The 18,103-nt window shown below is 45.4% G+C and overlaps 1 pseudogene, 1 gene segment (V, D, J or C) and 1 further gene, besides 1 other annotated feature; all 3 read right to left on the bottom strand.

Moving 5' to 3' along the window:
* The window catches only part of IGL (immunoglobulin lambda locus), an 896,838-nt gene that overhangs the window by 144,320 nt on the left and 734,415 nt on the right, over window positions 1–18,103 (bottom strand).
* Window positions 6,012–6,761, bottom strand: IGLV3-12 (immunoglobulin lambda variable 3-12). The segment is given in 2 exon segments: window positions 6,012–6,312; window positions 6,716–6,761. Coding segments are annotated over 2 exon segments (347 nt in total).
* Window positions 8,039–8,205: a silencer, noted in NCBI's record as "fragment chr22:23112882-23113048 (GRCh37/hg19 assembly coordinates)". NCBI's record gives its function as "represses an EF-1alpha promoter that drives an FKBP-Casp9 reporter gene in an ReSE screen in HepG2 liver carcinoma cells and K562 erythroleukemia cells {active_cell/tissue: HepG2 | K562}" and the evidence as "EXISTENCE:reporter gene assay evidence [ECO:0000049][PMID:32094911]".
* Window positions 16,020–16,515, bottom strand: IGLV3-13 (immunoglobulin lambda variable 3-13 (pseudogene); annotated as a pseudogene). Its single transcript is given in 2 exon segments — window positions 16,020–16,314; window positions 16,469–16,515. Coding segments are annotated over 2 exon segments (342 nt in total).

The following is an 18,103-nucleotide window of genomic DNA, read 5'->3' as shown; positions in this document are numbered from 1 at the left end:
AGAATTGAAGTAAAAAAATACTGTTAACCTCAACACAGAATGATTGGTTCACCAATTGTGTTATCATTCTATAATGTTTAAAACCAGAATAATTTCAAATTAGATGTGAAATAAGTCCCTTAGAGAAACAAATTCCAAGATACAACCCCCTATCTATCTATATCTATATCTATATCATCTATATCTATATCTATATCATCTATATCTATATCTATATCTATGTCATCTATATCTGTTAGGCCATTTTTGTATTGCAAAAAGCAAGGGCATTCTTCTAGGCCTTCTAAACTTTATAGGATCACACAAACATTGACACAATGGTGATAGACACAGATAGATGTTAATATTATTTGGAAAACAGTTTCATTTCTAGTGTGATGAACAAACAGTTAAGGTGTTGGTGGTCTTAGGCATTATTTCCCAGTAGGGCCCATATTTTTGCATGTGAAAAATAGTTACTAAAGGGAGAGCAAAGAGAGCACTCTCATTGTTCCCAGAGAATTGGACTAGAAAAATATGAAGTCGCATATCTTCATCAGCATTTGTATTTTTTGTCTTTTTGATCATAGCCATTCCAGCTAGGGTGAGATTGTATCTCACTGGGGTTTTGATTTTAATTCCCTCGCTGATTAGTGATGTTGAACATTTTTCTCATATGCCTGTTGGCCGTTTGTATGTCTTCTATTGAGAAAAGTCTATTCAAATTCTTGGCCCACTATTTAATGGTATTATTAGTTTTTTTTGTTGTTGTTGATGAGTTATTTCAGTTTTTAACTTTTCTTATACTGAATATTAGGTCCTTGTCAGGTGAGTAGTTTGCAAATATTTTCTCTCATTCTACACATTGTCTTTACTCTGTTGATTGTTTCCTTTGCTTTTCAGGAGCTTTTCAGTTTAATGATGTCCCATATCTCTATTATTTGTTGTTGCCTCTTGGCCATACAACTTTTATCTAGAACAATGTCCTAAAGAATTGTTCTTCCCCAATGTTCTCTAAGTTCCTTTCTAGTAGTTTTATAGCCTGGGTCTTATATTTGAGTCTTTAATCCATTTTTAGTTGATTTTTTATATGGAGGGGGATAAGTGTCTAGTTTCATTGTTCCGTACATGGATATCCAGTTTTCTCAGAACCATTTATTGAAAATTGTGCCATTTTCTCAGTGTATGTTCTTGGCATCTTTGTTGAAAATCGATTGGCTCTATATGATAGATGGGTTTATTTCTGGGTTGTCTATTCTGTTATATTGGTCTCAGTGTCTGATTGCCAATACCTACCTTCCTGTTTTGGTTACTATAGTTTGTAGTATATTTTAATTCTAGTAGTGTGACATCTTTAGCTGTGTTCATTTTGCTCAGTATTGCTTTGGCTATTCAGGATCTTTCTTGGTTTTATACCAATTTTAGAGGTTTTTTTAAATTTCTGTGAATAATGTCATTGGTATTTTGAAAGGAATTGCATTGAGTTTGTAGATTGCTTTGGGTAGTAAGTTTTTTCATTTAATATTTTCTAAATATAACTCCACTGACTCTGGCTTGCATTACTTCTAATAAGAAATCAGCTATTATCTGGGGATGGTTAATGGGTTAAAATGGTTTTTATATATTTTAATGTTTACATTGCAGATGGTGCTGTCAGTACCTACATAGTATCCCCAAAGTTGACTCCTGTGTGGCAAAGACTAAAATACTTCTTATTTATACATTTAAGAAAAAGTTTACCGAATTTTAAAAAGTAATGAGCACTGAAACATTTGAGCAAATGCTCAACTTCAAGCACAATAGGAGAAATCAAAAATAAAAGTGTAACAAGGTAACTTTTTTATATCTGATAGGTTGGCAAAAATTTGCACTTTCACCAATGAATTCCAATCAATATTTAGGGCTGGCATTGTAAACTGGTGAAACATGTGAAAACAATGGGTAAACATTACAAATGCACATCATTTTGACCCAGTAATTCCACTTCTGAAAATTTATCCTATGATCATATGCACACAATAACTCAAAGGAGTCGGCATAAGGATGCTTGCTGCAGTGTTATTTGTAAGATCAAAATCATGGTGTTAACCATTAGAGGTTGCATGGCTAAAATTCTACTGTGGAATACTCTACAGCCTTAGAATGAATGGGCAGTGCTCTATGCCTAGGATGTTGCAGGAAAGAATAAGAAATGGTGCATGTATGGAATGGTCTTTGACATGGGGGACCAGGACAGGCACCTTACACTTCACTCTCTCCTTTTCCGCTGAGTTTTCCAATCAGCCAAACAGGTTAGGGACAGTGGAAGCCCCTCAGGCTGGGCCTGGCCACCTGCTCTGGCCTCTGAATGCAGCCTGGCCTGACAGCTTGGCTGCGACTTCATGACCAACCCAGGGCCAGAACCACAAAACTAAGCTGCTCTCAATTCCAGATGCACCAAAGTGACAAGATCACAAACACGTGTTCTCTTAATATGCTAACTATTAGGGAGCAATTTTTATGTAACAATAGACAATAAATACAATTTGGTTTTTGAAATATAGTTTCTTGTGGATATTTCAAGTAACAACATGTTGATATAGGTAGGATACACATATAGTAAAATGATTACATTGTTTTAAATAAAATCCATTTAATCAAAGTTTATGAAGCCTAAACTACATGTAATCATGGCTATGTTTACCAATTGACTCATAAAATTTAAATGTTGGATGAAACTAATGTTTGAATATGTATGAAATTCACTCTCACCTTTAGTAGATTAATGAAGATTTCAGCTATAGTAGTATTGATGGCCATGGAAATTACAAATGCTGGATGTCAATGAGGAGGAAGGAATGAACTCAGGTTAACTCTTCCCTGTGGAGCCATTTTGGAAGCTCCCATCCTATAGGGAGACCATCCACTTTTGGAGAGTTTCCAGGACAGGGCCTCAGCGATGTGAGAGAGGGGGATTTTGAGAGAATACTGAGTCTGTCACTCAAAATCTCCCCAGCTCAGCAACCTGAGGTATTGAGGCAAAGAAGAGGAACAAAAATAAGAAAAACGCAGCCAGGTGTGGTGGCGCACGTGTGTATTCCCACCACTTCGGAGGCCAAGGCGGGTGGATCACCTGAGGTCAGAAGTTCAAGACCAGCCTGGCCAACATGACGAAACCCCGTTTCTACCAAATATACAAAAATTAGCCAGGCATGGTGGTGGGCACCTGTAATCCCAGCTACTGAGGAGTCTAAGGCAGGGAGAATTGCTTGAACCTGGGAAGCTGAAGTTACGGTGAGCCAAGATTGTGCCACTGCACTCCAGCCTGGTGACAGAGCGAGACTCTGTCTCAAAATAATAATAATAATAATAATAATAATAATAATAATGAAAAACAACAGCTTCCTCTGGTTCTTAATCCCTCAAAAACATGCTCAGCTCTCACAGTGGTCACTGCTTCAGGACAGAGGTACAGAGGAATAGCCCAGCCAGGAGGGCCATCTTCACGAGAGCATAGTGGACACAGAGTTGACTAAGGTGCAATTTCTTGAAACTCCCTGTAATGACTTCTGTGCAGATTGGCCTGCACAGCGTGGGAGATGAGGATGCATTTAGGGTGAGGGCGCCCCTAAAAACAGCAATGACTTCATGAGTCAGGCAGCTTTTCTCACTATGTGCCTGCATTTGAAGAGCTAGGAAGAGTTGCACATTCATGGACCACAACACACAAGCAACAGGAAGCTGTCACTGTCCTGGATGAGAAATCACAGAGCAGGTTTCCTTTTGGACTTCCTGGTGAGAAAGGAGAGGAGCTGGGAGAGGGGAAATTCTCAAGGTGGTGCTGCAAGAAGCCACTTGCACAGGGTGAGGAAGCATCTTCAGAACAAGAGAGAGGCTGAGAGCCCAGGGCAGGTTTGGGTCTCAATTCCCCATGAACCTGGACCACTGTGGAAAGTGCCACCTCTCCTATGTGAGCTGCAGTAATAATCAGCCTCATCCTCAGCCTGGAACCCAGAGATGGTCATGGAGGCTGTGTTTCCAGACTTGGAGCCAGAGAAGCCGTCAGGGACCCCCGAGGCCTGAATACTGACACCATAAATCATGGGTCTGAGAACTGTGTCACCCGTTGTTTTGGGGCCAAGAGCAGAAAGGCTCTGCAGCAGGTGCAGGCGGGGGTGTGAGTGTCCTGCTATTGGGCCAGAGAAACTGCAGACCCTATCATAATAGAGGAACTGGACAAAGGAACTGAAACCTTCTGCTTAAGGCAAACCTCAACAGGAGAATCCTACTGTAGACCCATGGGATTTAGCAACAAGTCTATGTCATGTGCAGTAGATTATTATTTACCTTTTGAAAACAGCCTCTTCTATGTTCCTGGGCTTTGTTACAACCAGAACCACATGAGACAGCAGTGGCCACACAGCCAGACCTGCCAGATCCCCTCAGTCATGACCTCAGGCAGGGCAAGAAATGATCCACATTGAGATGGAGGTGGCACACGTAGGATGGAGCAGGGGCAGGGCTCAAGGGCACTGTATTCCGCAGAAGCAGGTTCTCCTCTCCATTGTTCCAGCGCCTCTTCCTGGGTTCACACCTGGGTCTGGTGGAGATGGGGCTTCCTGCACCAGGTTACTCAACAGCACCTGTCACCTGAAAGAGTCCTGACCAGCTCTGTCCCATAACAGTATGACACGATCCTCCTGTGACCCCTAGTGTCTGGTCACCACATTAAATATAAAAATATAAGACAAATAAAATTGGATAAATAGTATATTTTATTTATGTCAATAAAGCAAAATACTATCATTTTCACATGTTAACATGAAATTATGAGATGAATTACATAGATTTTCATGGCTATTGTTACTGTTATTTTTCTGGAGATCAATGATTTGGGTTGGGGTTGTAGAAAGGGGTGACATTTGGAGAAGATGTGGAAGGCGGAGATGGGCAGTGTCCATCCTGCAGCTCACCCTGTGGGTGCATCTGTGGTCCCTGCGTGGGGCGAGGATGCTCTGCCTGCCCCAGGTTTCCCTGCAGGGAGATCTGACTCCAACTATCTCTCAACCTAGAGCATGTCAGGCTCCCTTTTCATTCCATAAAAATTCAAGGAACCATCAGATTGGCCATTTGAACATGTACTCTGAAAATTTAGGACAGAAACCAGAATTTTCAGTGGATAGTGGACTCCTCGGGTCGCTGACAGCCCATGTTGGGGACAGCTGGCCATCTTAGATGGGGTTCCCTGGAAGGTGACTGCAATGATTTCCATGCACAGAAGATTTGGAAGAGAGTGAGGGAGGCAACAGTGGGCAGAAGGAGACCCTGACTCATAATGGGGTTGCCACTGAGGCCTCAGGTGTCCGTCCACACAGGGAGCTCTGGAGCTGGGAGGCCCTTCATTCAGTGGCATCTTACATTAAGGCAGGGACTTGAGATCTTGGTTGATTAAACCAAAACCATCTGAGAAAGGACATAAACTTGAGGAAGCTTTCTGCAACCAACAGCGCTTCCCATTGTGGGCACAGCTCTGAGCTGCTGGGCTTCTCAGCAGTGCTAGGTGGGTCACATTGAAGAGGGGACCTGGGCAGACTTCACAGTGTCCCCTCCTCTGGTTTGGTCTGTTGGGAATCACAGACTGCCACACAGCCTGGGGGCCAGGACCTCAGCAGGGTTGGTTCTGGGGACTGAGCCAGATAGCTGGTCTAAGGACTGGCCTCATCCCCACCCCATTACCATCCAGGGGTAAGACAGAGGACAGAGGTTGCTTCTGTCTGTCTTTCCACCCAGGCCCTCATTCTCTAACTCACACGACAGCCCCAAGTCATTAGATGATTCTGGTCCTTCCAGGCCATGTGTATGCCTGATGTATGCTCTATAGAGACTCCTGGAGGGGGCTGGAGGGAAGGGCGGCCTGGGAGGCTCAGATCCAGGTGAACTGGACCAGATTCACTCATGGCTCTATCCATAGGCCTCCCGGGGCTGGAGCAAGAGGGTGACCGAGGCTGGGAGGGTGTTTTTGTCTCACTTCCCCATCTGCCTGTGTCACCGTGGGATGATCACTACTACTGTCCCACACCTGACAGTAATAGTCAGCCTCATCCCCAGCCTCGATCCTGCTGATGGTTAGGGTGGCGGTGTTCCCTGGGTTGGAGCCAGAGAATCGCTCAGGGATCCCTGAGGGCCGGTTGCTATCGCTATAGATGACCAGCACAGGGTCCTGGCCTGGCTTTTGCTGGTACCAGTGCACAGCTTTACTTCCAATGTTGTTTCCCCCACAGGTGATCCTGGCCATCTGTGCTGTGGCCACTGACACTGAGTGTGGCTGAGTCAGCTCATAGGAGGTCGCAGAGCCTGCAAAGATTAAAAAAAAAAAAAAAGGAGAGGATGGCTTTTAGGTAAAAGATCCGTATGAAATCCCCTGCCCTGCTGTCCTGGAAAAGCTTCAGAGAGTCTGTGAACCCTCAGGGTATCCCCTGCAATCAGCCCTAGCCCCAGTGGCCCATGGACTTTCCCTCTGCATGGAGCCTTTGAACTGAAAACCCAGTACTCTCTCCTGGCAGGTGCAGCCCCTCAGGCTCTCACAAGCCTCTGAGCAGAGTTTGAGGGGACTTCAGCTCCGCCAGTCCCTCACCCTGCAGCAGGGTCATGAGCATCCTGCCCACCACAGGCAGGGCCCTCCTGAGCTCATAGTCATGGCCACACTGGACCCAGAGCCCTGGGGATGGGCAGGTTGGTGATACCCTGGGCAGAGCACCTGTGCAGTGAGCGAGGAGGCTGAGGAGGAGAGGGGTCCAGGCCATGGCTGAGGCACTGCTGATGCTGCTTCCTGAGGCCCAGGCTAGGCAGGTTCCTCCCAGACCTCTCTTATCCCCTTGCTGGAGAGAACAGCCCATGATGCAAACCAGCAGAGTCAGGGGTTGCTGCTGGAGGAGCTTTGTGGTTTCCAGAGAAGGGCTCAGTCCCAAGGGACACAGAGAGAGAGAGAAAAGGGGTGACCACTGCTTGCCCACCCCCTCAGCCCATGGGATTCTCCTCCACCCACTGGTCCCATGGTCTGAGTTCACATCTTTACCCAGATTGTGCCCACTTTTGCCCCTGGGCTGAGTTGGTCATGGAAAAACTCAGAGCTGAGTTTCTCTGTATTTTCTAGGGGATATAAAGTCCTTCCTATGGGATAGTGGTTGGCCCTGTTCAAGAGGTTACCAGAGTCACAGTGGTGATGGGGGAATTATCTGGGGTCCACAGTCCCCTCCTCCATTCCATCCTGGCTCAGGAGGGAGGTGGTTAACTTTCTTCTGCTTCTCTAGAAATGTCCTGGTCATAAATATTTTATGTCAGACATGAGATGTTTGGTATAGGCCTAAATTCATTTTGAAGACACAATCCAGAACCCAATGCAGGGACCTTTTACTTCCCACTCTACAGGGGACAGCACAAGCCTTGCACCAGTACAGGCCCCACCCCAGGGCACAGCCCCTCAGTGCTAGAGGAGAATGCAATTCTTGGTTGCCAAGTGCACACAGAGTTTTGGAAGATCCATGGGATGTGATAAGTTTCTACTTGGCTGTGAGTTCTAATGCCAGGTCATAGGTGCTGTGCCTCAGTATCCCCAGGGTGCTGTCAGGGCCAGGGACACATCAGGAGGTGAAGGAAATGTTGGCTTTGTGAGAGAATGAGAGGGGGCTGCAAACTCCAAGACCCTGGAGGTGAATGTTTATTATAACTAAGTTGTCTTCACTTGCTGGGAAAATATATCAATGGATAAAAACTTAAGTCAACAAAAGATTAAGGAGCAAGTATTTTGTGCCTCATAAGGAAATCAAGAGCTGTGATTTGGCAGGTTCCCCAGGACAGTGTTGGGAAAGACTGGGGACAGTGGACGTGGAGGAGTGGCCAGGGAAGGAGAAGCCCCTGTGTCTGCAGGACGAGCTACCAGAGAAAAGGGCAGGGAGGTGGGACACGCGTGACTACAGAATGGAATGGCATGTGTGACAGTGAGATGGGGGCCAGGGCAATGAGAAGAGGCAAATTGTCTGAATCTGTATCAGAAAAATAAGCACCATTTCCAAGAGTCAAATCTGAGAGACAGGAGGTCAGAAGAATTTAAACATCAGTGTCAATGACAAATATTCTAAGAAAAGAGGAACCTCTTTCCCTCCAGGTCTCAGGTCATGGTCACTGACCCTCCCTGCATGTCAGCATCTCCCTGATGCCCAGCTCCACCCCCTTTCCAGGGATTTTTGCCAGGTTACTCTCTGCTGCCCCCAGGTGGCCACTCTACACTGTCAGCTGGAGGCTCAGGGGCCTCCTGGGTTCAGGTGTAGCTTCAGAATCTGCTGCTCAGGTCCCTGATTCCTTGATTCATGGACTGTTGACTTCAGAGAAGAAATTTCTCTTCTGTTTGTGGCCCCTTCCTGCCTCAAACCTGGGCACGAGGTGCTCAGATTCCTGATGGAAATACAAACACTCACATGTGGAGAAGGAGGTGACAGTGCCCTCCTGAGGCTCCCTGCACGTCTGTGTGGTGGGTGGTCTTGAAGGGGGACTGGAGCTTGGTACTGAGAGATGCAGGACTCAGGGGTGGCTTTGATTGGTTCTGGATACAAATACAGGGCCAATGTGCACTGGTGGTGACTCCTGCAATACAACAGAGACAGAAGCTCATTCACCCAACAAATATTCACCCTGACCCACTCTGTCCTGGCAAGAATGCATTTTAGGAATTCAGCATGAGGAAGACACAGTCCTTGCTCTGAGGAGTTTCCTGTCCTGTTGCTGGATCAGTGCAGTAGGCAGATTGGGTTTACAGACCCAGCAGATACTCCCTACCACCTTCTACTTGTGTGTCATCCCCTCTATTCACTTGAAAGTCAGGCAAATTTCCAGTTTCTTCTAGCCAGCAGTGACCATGTAGCCCAGCGTTGGTCCATAGGATGTAAGAGTCAGATGGCTGAGATTCTTCTCAGGAAACTTTTCCTCTTATGAAGGAAGGACTAGATTGGGTTTGTGCTTTGCTTTTTCTCTTGAACTTGGGTGTGATAGCTGGAGCTGCAGCAGCCATGCTGAGGTCTTACATCAACAACAATGAAAACAAAGTCAACATCTCATTGAAAGGGAATGGAGAGGTAGAAATATTTGAGCTTCCTATGGAACTGGAGAGCATCTGGAAAACAACCACCAAGCACGTGCAGACTTATTTTTGTGGAAGAAAATTGGAAGCTCCCTGGTTCCTGCCACATGTGTTCTTGTAGTGAAAAAGCATTTCTGACTGATAATGCAATGATTAATAGAAATAAATCAGTCAAAAGATAACGATAGAAAAAACAAATGTGTAATTGTAAGCTCTATGCAGCTAATCATTGAAAGTTCTGACAGAAGCTGACTGGCTGGCTGCTGTAGCTTCAGTGATTGGAGAAGGCCTCCCTGAAGAAGAGTCTGTGGAGTTCCTTTGAGGAAGGAGTGAAGAGACAAGTGATGGAAGCGTGTGCAGGGAGCTGTGTCTGTGCCCTGCGGAGAAGGGTCTTGGGTGTGTGAGGATCTGAAAGGACAGTGGGAAGCCTGAAGGGGATCTGGGATGTAAACCAGTTCAGGTCAGATGTGACATTTGCCCATAAGTGAAGAATTTGGGGACAGGCAGGATGTGTAGTGTGTGAAATTCACAGGTAATAAATTAGGTGATCTGGGGCAGCATAGCAAACAAAATCACTCTTGACCTCCAGGAAGATGCTACTGTGTGGGGACAGGTGTGGCTTGCAGTAGCCCTACTGCGTGGAAACAGTCCTGCTGCCAACAGTGAACACTGACATCCTGGGGGCTACTTTTTACAAAATTCTTCACAAGTCTTGTCAAAGGATCCTGGTTTAGAAATGCTGGCTGGAGACAGTTGACAATCAAATATGAGCATGAGAAATTTGAGTATTCTTCCCAGCAACAAATTAGCAGATTCAACAGACATTCCTGCAACACTGGAAATGTGTGACCTTGGACCAGACAGGATATCATTGTTAATTAGAGAAGAGAGAGAGAGAGAAAGTTGAGTTGTAGCATATAGAACAGAGAAAGTGGTGCTTAGTACACAATTCTTTGACCAGGTTCCAGCCCTTCCCTAGTTCACCTGGCCCTACGGACACTCAGCGAGTGGTTCCTGGTCCCTCCCCTCTACCCGATGCCAACCATGCAGCCCTGTGGGGACCTAGCCTGCTGCCTGTGTGTCTGGTCCTTAGCCAGCTTTCTGGGGCCCCATGTGGGTGACCCAGCACTGCTTTCCCTGAAGTTCTAGAGAATTGCTGACCCAGGAGCAGATAATTCAGGGAGTGCACTTGACAAGGAAAGGAAGGGCCTGTGAGAGGGACTGACAATTCCAAGGTCTCTGGGGAAGGAAGAAAGAAGAGCGAGATCAGAGAAGTTTTAGACCCATAATGATGAGCTCTTCTGAGTGTCCTGGGACCAGCTTGGGCTTGGGGAGGGGACGTGGGAAAATCCTGAGCCAAATTTTTGAGGCCCTGATGCAAACAGCTTCCCCTCGTCAGTTCCTCCAGCTGCCTGTCGGGAGCGCTGCTCTACCTCGACGTGGAGCCAGTCAGGGTCTGGGAGGGCAGCCAACTCCATGCACTCATTGGCTGATTGCAGCCCAAAGTAAAAGACTCCAGATTTTAATCAAACATTGGCCTTTTAATGATCTTTTAACCTGACAAAATTTTTAATACAATGTTTTAGGTTTAGGAATCCCCCCATAAAAATGATCTATCTAAGTTAATGTTCAATTAGCTCAACTTATAAGTTGAAGATATATTACTACAATGGTATTTCTCAGTGCTTTTTTGAGCAGGGTATCATTTTCTTTTCTGTTTTTTTTTTTTTTCCATTTCCACGAGTTATGGCCATGAATACAAGCCATGAACATTGATACAGGAAGCCTGTGCTTTTCCTATTCAACACATCCCACACCTGACATGCTTACCTTATGTAAGTGTCCTACAGTGAATTTTGAAAAACATTGGCTGAAGCAATAGCCAGAGAAATGTCACCTACGGTATGATTTTACCCAAGAGTCACACAAGGTATTTTCTCATGGAGCAAATAGATGATGCTCACATGCAGGTGACCCTGCACGGGTGTGACTGAGTCATTCTGGGTCAGATGTGAGCTGAGCACGTTTCCTTCCCACTGACCAAGGTGGCTTCTGCCCTGCTCACCCCTGGGAGAAGCTCCCTCTCTACTCCTGGCTCTTCATGCCGGGAAGATGCTCCTCCTTTTGGGAATGCAGAGCTCAGGCTGTCACGGGAGAATGAGAAGACCTTGTCTGGGGGCTTTGAACTTCCCAGAATCACAGGTCTTTGTTCTTCTCTGAAAGCAAAATTATCAGGGAGCAGAATATCAGAGTAAGGGCCACTTACCTGCCCCAGGTTGTACTGAAAAGACTTTCCTAGTGCACATCTCCTAGGAGGTTTCCAGGAGCCTGAGACTGGCTGAGTCAGTCCTCACTGAGGCCCAAGCAGCAGGGAAATGTGTGAACCTTCCCTCTTCTGTCGTGGTTCACCAAAGATTTAGTTTTCTTTGAAATCCCAAAATCCTGTCACTTGAAATTTGGAGCCTTGCAGAGATGTGTTCACTGCTTCAAGTGGTGGAAAGTCTCCAGATGGACGAGTTCCTGCATCCGTCTGCACTTTCAAAAGTCTCTAATTTAGAGCTCAGCCATGTTTGTAGAGCAGAAGCTCTAATAAAGTAGGTGTGTAAGAGTGTGTTAGATAAACAAGGGAGATGGTGAGAGAGAACATGAAAGCTTCCCAATCCCCTTCACCTCTGACCCCCGTGGTCCACATCTCCCAGGAACATACAGATGAGAAGGGCATGGACAGCAGAGACAGAGGGCTGGAAATTCCATGTTTAGAGCCAGAAGTTTCTTCAGCTTCCTGTTCCACCAGCAGATCTAATCCCCTTATTCTCATCAGAGATAAGGTGTCCTCAGCCACCTTCTGTCTCTCTGTGTGACTCAGTGTCCAGCAGCTATGAATGACCTTTTTCTTGAGAATCAAATTCAGATGTAGACTCAGCAGTGGACACGGTCCTCCCAAGCACAGGGATCAGAGTCAGCAGCACAGAATCTGCCCCGTGAGCACAGTGTGCACAGCTCCACTGCACACCCAGCATAGCCCTACTGCGTGGAAACAGTCCTGCTGCCAACAGCGAACACTGTCATCTTGGGGGGTACTTTTTACAAAATTCTTCACAAGTCTTGTCAAAGGATCCTGGTTTAGAAATGTTGGCTGGAGACAGTTGACAATCAAATATGAGCATGAGAAGTTTGAGTATTCTTCCTGGCAACAAATTAGCAGATTCAACAGACATTCCTGCAACACTGGAAATGTGTGACCTTGGACCAGACAGGATATCATTGTTAATTAGAGAAAGAGAGAGAGAGAGAAAGTTGAGTTGTAGCATATAGAACAGAGAAAATGGTGCTTTTCTTTCCATTTTTACCAGTTGTGTGATTTCAAAATTAAACTAGTATTACTTTGCTTCCTGAGCATGCAATATTTTTATTATGGTAAAATAAACATAACAAAATGTTTCATCCTTTTAATCATTTTTAAGTGTGTAATTAAGCGGCAGTAAGTACAGTAAAAATGTGCAAACATCACCATTAGCCAACCCAAGAGCTTTTAGTTCAGCGCACAAAGAACCTCTATCTATTAGACAGCACTTTAGAAACTTTGGACATTGTGGACAAAATGACGAGTGTGTGATAAAAAGAAAATCCCAAGGATGAACCAAAGACGGTGTTTGCACTTCACCCCCAGCTTCTGTGGAATCTCAGTGCAGTAGGGGGTGTGCCTCATCCAGGAACCCAGATGAGACGCAGCCCCTGGGGCCTTTTCTGGGCTGTTTCTTCCCAAGGAGCAGAGGAATTTCAACAGGATTGTGGCCTCTGAAACAGCTCTCTCCTCTCCTGCAGTACGTGTGATTACTTCTGGGGTCCTCACTTTCAGTTTACTGGACTGATCTCTACAATAGTTGAATGATCCTGGAAGATGAATTTGGATTTGTACAGACCCAGATGGGCAATAGTGGCATTAGCAATATCTGTGCCAGATGGGGATCTCCTGGAACAGAATGCTATGGCTGCAGGTGCACAGTTAAACCACTGAAGCAGATACTGAGGTCTTGTCTATTGTCCTCAGAGAATAGGATCAGAATCAGTGTGCATTCACGTGGAATGGACAACAGTATACATTCACACTTTTTCTGCCCAGCTTCATTAGCTCTCCCTTCCCTATCATGATATCATCATGGGGGCTCAGACCATCTGGATATCATAGTTCAATCACATGTACATGATGGGCACGGCCTATTGGAAGCTTTTGTGAGATCCATGCACTTTTGAGAGTGGGAAATAAACAAAGATGTTTCCTCCTCCATATTAGCTGAAATTGGGACTTTAGTTGTCTGGAGCAGCTGAGAGTCTCCTACAAAATAAACAACACGTTATGGCCGAGCGCGGTGGCTCACACCTGTAATCCCAGCACTTTGGGAGGCCGAAGCGGGCAGATCACGAGGTCAGGAGATTGAGACCATCCTGGCTAACACGGTGAAAACTCATCTCTACTAAAATAAAAAAATACAAAAAAATTAGCCGGGTGCGGTGGCGCGTGCCTGTAGTCCCAGCTACTAGGGAGGCTGAGGCAGGAGAACGGTGTGAATCTGGGAGGTGGAGCTTGCAGTGAGCCAAGATCGGGCCACTGCACTCCAGCCTGGGCTACAGAGCGAGACTCCATCTTAAAAAAAAAAAAAAAAAAAAAAGATGTTATTATAACCTTCAATTTTCCCCAGGAAGAAAGAGACACAAGGCCTATAAGATCTAGGAGTAGCATATTTTACTACTGGGGATGTGACTCCAATCCATGTATCAGGAGCCATAAATGTCACCCATTGTTTTCCAGGCCCAGAGCAGGAAGGCTCTGCAGCAGGTGCAGGCAGGGTTGTGAGTGTCCTGCTGTTGGGGCCAGAGAATCCAGCAGACTCCACCATGGGAAATAAAACCTCCTGCACATGGCAAACCCCGTTGGAGAATCCCAATGTAGACTCCTGGGTTTTTGGAAGAAGGCCATGTCATGTGCAGTAGAGTGTTACTCCCCTTTCTAAAAACAGCTTCTTTTGTCTTACTGGGCCCTGGGAGAGACAGGATAACACTGGACATCAAGTGACCATGTTGCCAGAAATGCGATTTCCCCCCAGTTGTGAGCTCAGGCAGGCCAGGAGTGGTCTCTGGTGAGATGGATGTGACACATCTAGGTTAGAGCAGGGTCAGGGCTCCAGCACTCAGTCACCTGCATAAACAGCTGGTCCACACCCATATTCTTATTTCTCTTCCACCAGTGCCTCTCCGTGGCTTCACACATATGTCCTATGGGTGGAGATGGGGCTTGCTGAAGCAGGTTACTCCAAAGCACCTGTCATGTGAAGGGGTAAGACCAGATCAGCATTGTACAATCACAACATGATGTGAGTCTCATGTGAATCCTATTGTCTAGTCACCATAGTAGACATAAAAAATAAAAAGGTAAACTAGGTTCAATAATATACTTTATTTAACACAAAGTGTGAAAAATAATATTTACACATGCACACAATCTAAAATTATTTATGAGATTTTTATAGAAGTTTTCATAGCTACTATATTACTATTTCTGTGCCTGAAAATCTATTACTATTACTATTACTATTTTGTTACTATTATTTTATTATTATTATTATTTTGTTACTATTATTATTTTGGGGAGATTCTTTATGTTGAGATTGTGTGGTTGATGGAGGTTTGAAGGAGTCTGACAAGGATGAGCTGTGCTGGCTTCGTAAGTGTCAACTTTGATAAGCTGAAGGAGGGGTGAAAGAGTGATTGTTTGTGCAGGATGTGCAGGATGGAGGTGGGCAGCATCCATCCTACAGCTGCCCCCGTGGGAGCATCTCTGGTCCCTGCATGGAGTGAGGCTGCTCCCTTTTCCGTGGAATCCTTGCAGGAAGATCTGCCTCCACCTCTCCTTCAGGACTCAGAGCACCTGGCATTTCAGGATCCCTTTTCATTTTATAAGAATACAAGGATCTCTCAGAAATCGTTGGGCATTTGGATGCTCACAGTGGAAATTTAGGAAATTCGCTGATGCATTCCAGGGTATAGTGGCCACCTCAGGTCTATGGTGGCTCATTTTGGTGACAGCTGGCCGTCTTAGTTTGGGTTCCCTGAAAGTAGACTTTGAGATAAACATTTTCATGCACAGAGAATCTGAAAGGAGTGAGAGAAGCATCACCCACCAGAAGGAGACCCTGACCCATCATAAGATTGCAACTGAGGCCTCAGGCATCCACAATGGGAGGTCTGGAGCTGGAAGGCCTTTCAGTGTCATCCTGTATTAAGGCGGGGCCTTGGGTTCTTGGCTCAGGCAGTCATCAAACCAAAACTCTCAAAACTGAGCCTAAATATGAGAAAGGAAGTTTTCTGGAAACAATAGCACTTTCCTGTGAGGGCACAGCTCTAAGCTTCTAGAAGCTCCCAGCAGTTGAGGGTGGGTGAGCTCAGAAAAGCATATCTAGGCAGATGCCACAGTGCTTTTCCTGTTCCTCTGCTTTTCCTGTTCAAAATCCCAGGCTGCCATGGAAGCCTGGAAGCTCAGGTGTTGAGCTGAGCTGGGCATTTTTGGGGACTGATGTAAGATATTTGGAAGGAGTGACCCAATCACCATCGTATGGAAATCTAAGGCCAAGTGATTGTTCTCTACATCTCTCTCATCTTCCATCCCGTTCTTATTTCCCCAAGTCACTTCAGGGGCCTGAAAACACAAGAAAATTCTGATTATAGCAGCCCTAAATCCACTCCTGCTCTACCCTCTGCAGCACCAACCTGTAGGGCTGAACAAAAGGATGGCCTGGAGGTCTCATATCCAGTAGAACTTGGCCAGACCTGCTCATGGCTTGGCCCACAGTCATCCTGGTGCTGGAGGAAAAGATGAGACAGATGAAAAATGGATTTGTGTCTCACTTCCCCATCTGCCTGTGTCACTGTGAGATTGTTCTAATCACCAGAAAAACAGTAATAGTCAGCCCCGCCTTTGGTCAGGACCCTGCTAATGGTCAGGGCGGTTGTGTTCCCTGAGGTGGACCCAGAGAATCGCTCAGGGATTCCAGAGGGCCGCTCACCATCTTTATATATCACCAGCACAGGGGCCTGGCCTGGCTTTTGCGGGTACCAGTCAGCATAATTATCCCTCAGTACATCTCCAGAGCAGCTGATCCTGGCTGTCTGTCCTGGGGACACTGACACCGCGGGTGGCTGTGTCAGCTCATAGGAGGCCACAGAGCCTGCAGGAGAGGAAAGGAGAGGGGGCTTGAAGATAACAAACACATTTCCAGTGGTGTCACCCTGAGGCTATGCCTAGGCTGAGCTCAGGGTTCAGGGCAGGACCAGCTCAGGATCCTGTAAGGGCTGAGCCTAAGGCAGGGTTGGGGGCATCACCTTTGTAGAGGGTGAGGAAGGAGAGGCAGAGAGGGGGTCCAGGCCATGGTAAGACACCCAGAGCTCTGCCTCCTGAACCCAAAGCACAGGTGGGCTTCCCAGGCCTCGCTTATTTCCTCTCAGGCCTAGTGGGGCAGTGCATGTTTGGTGTTTACACAAATTTACTTCTCCTGGACTCCTCTTGGTGGGATGTCACTCAACCCAGATCTGGGGGACACAATTCAGCCAAGAACTCTCTACCCTGCAGACCCCAAAACTCATGTATTTTTCACTTGTAAAACACATTCACCCCATCCCAGTGACCCAAATCCTGAACTAACTCAGCACCACTCTAAGACCAAACTCTCATTTGCGTATCATCCAACTGAAGTGTGGGTGATTCTCCAGGGTGATTCATCCTGAGGATTTAAAGAATAACAGCTTTGGGGCTTCACCTCCTCTCTCCTGTTGTCATCTGGGTGTTTAGGAATGTCAAATTTCCCACTTTATTTGCTAAGATTAGAAGAGAAGAGTGAGTAAGCACCAGCAACATCTGTGAGGTATATGTGGAGAAATCACATCTGTCCACTCTTGAACTAACTTACCTAAGTTAAATACCCATTAATTGAATTTATTAATCAGTAGCCATAGGATATGTGGGGAAATCACATCTGTCCACTCTTGAACTAACTTACCTAAGTTAAATACCCATTAATTGAATTTATTAATCAGTAGCCATAGGATATGTGGGGAAATCACATCTGTCCACTCTTGAACTAACTTACCTAAGTTAAATACACATTAATCTAATTTATTAATCAGTAGCCATAGGATATCTTTGCCAGTGTTTAGAAAAAACAGAACTGATACAGAAAATAGAAAAAATATCACAAGTTAAATTGTTCTAAGAGAAGAGTATGTCCTTATTAAGAAAGATAATTCACAAAAATAGTCTAAAGAAAATTCATCTCATATGCATATTAAAATACTATTTCCAATGTTAACGTTAAGCATCCACATTTTGATGTGCAAATAGAGACTCTCTAATGGTTATACAAAGTGCATTATTTTTTTCTATTTGATATTGACATTTTGTTTAGGTTCCCTTGTAGGGTGAGGGTGATCTTGACTGTAGGGAAGAAGGATGTTCCATGGGAGGTTTCCTTACACACACACACACACACACACACACACACACACACACACACACACATAAAATAATAATTTGCAGCAGAAACATATTTCCACCAAAAAGATCCTGTTCTTTTCCTGGCAGCTTGGCTTGGGGTCTTTATAGTTTTAACATCTCAAGCTCTCTTCCTTATCCCATTGTTAAATTCTGTTCTAGAATTTTCATGGATTATAAAAACATTCAATACATTTAAAACTTAAACTATTTGTTTATTTGTCATTCTCAGAACCTCCATGTTCTCTTCTGTTTTTGGCTGCAGTCAAATGCTGATATTAGTAACCTTCTCTCTGAGCCTGCCCTGGATATTCCAGCTTTGGTACAAACTATCTTGCCCACATGCCCATCCCTCTCTCTCAGACTTTTGCCTTAGGAGGAGTCTATTCCTGATAAATTAAAGCTCTCCCAAAACTCGGAGCAAGCAATGCAGATAAATGTTATGTGATTGTGACACGGGGTTGTCTTAA

This window comes from Homo sapiens, chromosome 22 (assembly GCF_000001405.40).
Source record: "Homo sapiens chromosome 22, GRCh38.p14 Primary Assembly".
Taxonomy (NCBI): Eukaryota; Metazoa; Chordata; class Mammalia; order Primates; family Hominidae; genus Homo; species Homo sapiens.
Note: the sequence above shows the minus strand (reverse complement) of the source record. Positions and strands in the feature narration are given on the sequence as shown.